The following is a 5,289-nucleotide window of genomic DNA, read 5'->3' on the forward strand; positions in this document are numbered from 1 at the left end:
TATATGTCTCATACTGTTTCCTGTATTTTCTACCTTAAATTTTTTTTTAATGCGCTTTAATTTGATTATTTTCTAGTGGCTCCATAGTACTAATCATCACGGTAGCTGTTCCTAACCTGCTATTAAAACTATATATTTTATTATCAATTTTATTTAACTGTTTTTATTACTAGAATTCCTATTTGATACTTTTAAAAATAGGCTTCATTTTTTTCTGATAATATTTGCCACCTTTTCATCTATTTCCTTAAGTAGATTATTTTAAGCTTGCAGATAGTGAAGTCTATGTTTAATAACCCCAACATATGGATAACCTGAAGGTCTACTTGTGTCATTTTTTTTCTTCTCTTTTTCTCTTGATTTTTATTTATTTTTCATGTCCTGGCATGCCCATAAATTTTTGATTGAATGTTAGATATTGTGTATAAAAAAATGCCAGGCATGGTGACATGTGCCTCTAATTCCAGCTACTCAGAAGGCTGAGGTGGGAGGATTGCTTGAGCCCAGGAGTTTGAGTCCAGCCTGGGCAACATAGTGAGACCCCATCTCTAAAAATTAAAAAAAAATGGATAGGCTTTGGGTGAAGTGGTCTTTCTCCAGATAAGATTCAGTGTTCTTGTGGCAGGCAGAATGGATTTCATTTGGAAGCCTGGGGTGTGCAGCAGGGATCTTCTTTGATGGAGCTTGGACTCCACTGTTTGCTTCCCTAGTCCTGTGCTGCAGAATATCTTTACAGATTTTAAGCCTGTTATTAGCTGCCTTCTCCTTGGTGTGTATACACAGCCTGGAATGTCAGAAAATTTCTCAAAGGGAAATTTCATGCTAATTTTCTCTGGAGTTCCTTTTCTTCTGAGACATTGGTCTCTGACACCCTGGCTTTTTTGTTAGCCCTGAACTTAAATTGTTCATTTCTAGGTCCGGGAGACTTTCACAAGTTTCAGGCTCCTTCTTTCTTTTGGACCTCTTTGCCCTGTGCTGTGAACTGGCAAGTGCCATAAAGGAAGAAAATAGCACCAAACACAAGGCTAACTTCTAGGCATTCCCCTTCTCTGGGGATTTTGGCCTCTTTAGTCTCAATTGCTGTACTTGATTGCTCTCAGATACTTTCAACAGCTGCTTTCCTTTTGTATATATCCAGATTTTATAGCTGTTCTTTTTGGGAGCATTAGTCTGATACAAGCTATTTTATGATAGGCGAAAGTAGGATTCCTGCTTATTTCTTTAATTAGGTTCACTTTTATACAAACCAATTACCTATTTTAGCCTCATTTGAAGAGATAATATTTATGAAACCAGAAATATACTTTTATAAAGAAAACATATTGAAACAAATACACATGAACATTCATCTGTATACCCTTTAAAATCATTTCCTATACCTCTGGCATGTGTATACCATACTTTGGATAATTTCTTTGGAATATACCCAGAAGGCCATCCTAGGATCTTTTCTTGGTTATAGTAGAAATACACTAAGATCCCTCAGACTTAGAGTCCAATTCCAGCTTGCCACTTACCTGCTTGTTATGGACTGAATGTGTTTCCCCCAGAATTTATATGTTGAAACTTAATCACTGATGTGATAGTATGAAGAGTCAGGGCCTCTGGGACATGATTAAGTCATGGAGATGGAAACCTCATGAATGGGATTAGTTACCTTAGAAAAGTGGTTCTAGGGAGTTGTACTCCCCTTCTGCAATGTGAGGGCACAAAAAAGAGGTGGTATCTGTGTAGCAGACAGCGAACCTTCACCAGACACTGAATCTGCAGGTGCCTTGGTCTTGGACTTCTGAGCCTTCAAAACTATGAGAAATAAATGTCTATACTTAGTCCTCAATTACTTAGTCTGAGGTCTTTTGTTATAGCAGCCCAAACAGACTAAGACAATGCTGGAGCTATACGGACAAGTCATGTAACCTCTCTGGGTGTCATGTTTAAAACCAGGCACTTAAACTTACCCTAGACTGGCTTCCAGCACTAGTATTCTCTGAGCTGGTGGGGCTGGCCCCTGGGCCTGCTGAGTCCCGGTTCTGGATTTCTGACTGAGCCTGCAAGCCTTGGCTCACTCTCTGGATTTCTGGATTTTCTCCACTCTTTCCTTTTTGAGAGGTTGTCTCTTTTTTTTTTTTTTTTTTTTTTCTAGTGAACCTCAAGGTTTTTGACATCTATGCAGAGGCCAGACTCAGGGCATAAAAAGACCTAGAGATGAAGCCGGGTTGGCCCTGGGGAGTCCCTCGGAAGGAGCAACTTTTGTCCTTGATTAAAGGAAGGTTGAGGAGGTCTCTTGTACATAGATATCTGCTTTGCTCCTTAAAAAATATATCACCATTAGTAGAGTATTCTTTTGGGCTATAGCCTTCCTTCAGTTCTGTTAACTAGTATCTATCACCCCCTGCTAGGGGGACTGGGATGGGCTCTGTGAAGGGATAGTGCAATGAACTGAATGTTTGTGTCTCCCCAAAATTAATGTTGAAATCTTAATCCCAGTGTGACAGTGTTGGGAGGTGGGTCCTTTGGAGGTAATTAGGTCATGAAGGCGCAGCTCTCATGAATAGGATTAGTGTCTTTATAAGAAGAGATCTGACCAATGGAACAGAATAGAGAATCCAGAAATAAACCCAAATACTTAGAGCCAACTGATCTTCAACAAAGCAAACGAAAAACGTAAAGTGGGAAAAGGACACCCTCTTTAACAAATGATGCTGGTATAATTGGCTAGCCACATGTAGGAGAATGAAACTAGATCCTCATCTCTCACCTCATACAAAAATCAACTCAAGATGGATTAAAGACTGAAATCTAAGACCTGAAGCTACAAAAATTCTGGAAGATAACATTGGAAAAACCCTTCTAGACATTGGCTTAGGCAAGGATTTCATGACCAAGAATCCAAGAGCAAATGCAATAAAGATAAAGAGTTGGGACTCAATTAAACTAAAGAGCGTTTGCATGGCAAAAGGAACAGTCAGCAGAGTAAACAGACAACCCACAGAATGGGAGAGAATCTTCACAATTTATACATCAGACAAAGGATTGATATCCAGAATCTGCAATGAACTCAAGTCAGTAAGAAAACAAAACAAAACAAAAAAATCCCATCAAAAAGTAGGCTAAGGACATGAGTAGACAATTCTCAAAAGAAGATATACAAATGGCCAACAAACATGGGAAAATGCTCAACATCACTAATGATCAGGGAAGGGCAAATCAAAACCACAATGAGATACCACCTTACTTCTGCAAGAATGGCCATAATCAAAAAATCAAAAAACAGTAGATGTTGGCATGGATGCAGTGATCAGGGAAGACTTCTACACTGCTGGTGGTAATTTAAATGAGTATAGCCACTATGGAAAGCAGTGTGGAGATTCCTTAAAAAACCAAAAGTAGAAGTACCATTTGATCCAGCAATCCCACTAGTGGGCATCTACCCAGAGGAAAAGAGGTCATTGTACGAAAAGGAAGCTTGCACACACATGTTTACAGCAGCACAATTCACAATTGTAAAATCATGGAACCAACCCAAATGCCCATCAATCAACGAGTGGATAAAGAAACTGTGATATATATAATATATATATATAAAATATATAATATGTATATATAATATAATATAAATATAATATTTATATATATTACAAATATATATAATATATAATGTGTATATATAATATATATCACATATATATCACACATATATATATAGTGGTGTGACATATATATATATGTCATATATATATATATGATGGAATGCTACTCAGCCATAAAAAGGAATGAATTAACGGCATTTGGAGCGACCTAGATGAGATTGGAGACTATTATTCTAAGTGAAGTAACTCACGAATGGAAAACCAAACATCGTATGTTCTCACTAATATGTGGGAGTTAAGCTATGAGGACATAATATGTGGGAGTTAAGCTATGAGGACATAAAGGCATAAGAATGATACAATGGAGTTTGGGGACGTGGGGGGAAGAGTGGGAATGGGGCGAGGGATAAAAGACCACAAATAAGGTGCAGTGTATACTGCTCGGGTGATGGGTGCACCAAAATATCACAAATCACTATTAAAGAACTTAGTCATGTAACCAAATGCCACCTGTACCCCAATAACCTATGGAAAAATAAAATAATTTTAAAAAAGAAGAGGTCTGAGAGCTAGCTAGCTTTTCTTCTGTCATGTGAGGATACAATGAGAAGTTAGAAGTCTGCCACCGAAAAATGGGCTTTTACAAGAACCCAACCATTCTGGCACCCTGATCTCAGACTTCCAGCCTCCAGCACCGAGAGACATAAATTTCTGTTGTTTATAAGCCACCCAGTGTATGGCACTTTGTTATAGCAGCCTGCATTGACTAAGACAGATGAGTTTTCAGGCACAGGATTTGAGTTTGATTTCAAGTTCTGCTACTTACCAGTGGTGTGACATTGGGCAAGTGCTTTAACTTCCTGTGGCCTCCTCTCCTTCATCTAAAAATCAATAATGATGTATGTTCTGCATATCCACTTGGATATCGTGAGGATTCCCAAGACACCAGTGGCAGTGGTTACCTGTAGGGATAGGAGGGACTGGAGCAAATGGAAATTGTATTGTAGTAAGAGTTCTCAACCGATACCTTGTTGAATTGTTTTGATTTTTGAGCCAAGTGCAATTGTAATCTCAATAGATCTCTTTACTAATTAGTGTTATTGTCAGGCAATGAACACAAAGATGTTGCATAAATGTAAGTACCTGAGTCTTGATGGCTTTGAACTCCCTCCTGTTTTATTGCTCTGTAAGCCAGTCTTTTACAGTTGACCTTCCCTGTCATAGCACCTGGCACAGTCATGCTCAGAAACGTTGGATTAATGTTGGGTTCACTTATCTGAATGGATGCAGTTCATTTTGCAGATGGGAGGGAGGTCCAGAGATTTACTTTTGCAGCACTTTTTTTTCTTCTTTTCCTGAACTTCTTTCAAGTCCAGAGATGTCTATTAGAGGAATTAGATGAGGCCCTTTGATTTTTAATTGTATGTGCCCGGGTGGTTAGGGGAGGACATGGCAGAAGTTATAGTTGGCTATCCAGGATCAGAGTGGCTCCTTAATAGATGCTGGAACTTGACTCTATCAGTTCAAGCAGGTAGAACCACTTGCAGGGCCTGCTCCACACCGCCCAGACTGCCAAGAGCCTGATGGATGAACCAACGTGCCAAATTAATAACAATTTCCTCCGTGACATTTCGTGACGTGAGAACTAGGACAGCAAGTATTCATAGAACACTTCTCACTGGGACAAATGTCGCCTCCA

General features: G+C 39.0%; 1 annotated feature.

The window, feature by feature from the left end:
- Positions 586–755: an enhancer, noted in NCBI's record as "experimental_101181 CRE fragment used in MPRA reporter constructs". NCBI's record gives its function as "activates a minimal promoter by MPRAs in K562 erythroleukemia cells, with activity observed for both the introgressed and non-introgressed 8:131728403 variant alleles {active_cell/tissue: K562}" and the evidence as "EXISTENCE:reporter gene assay evidence [ECO:0000049][PMID:34662402]".

The sequence above is a fragment of the Homo sapiens genome, chromosome 8 (assembly GCF_000001405.40).
Source record: "Homo sapiens chromosome 8, GRCh38.p14 Primary Assembly".
Classification (NCBI taxonomy): Eukaryota; Metazoa; Chordata; class Mammalia; order Primates; family Hominidae; genus Homo; species Homo sapiens.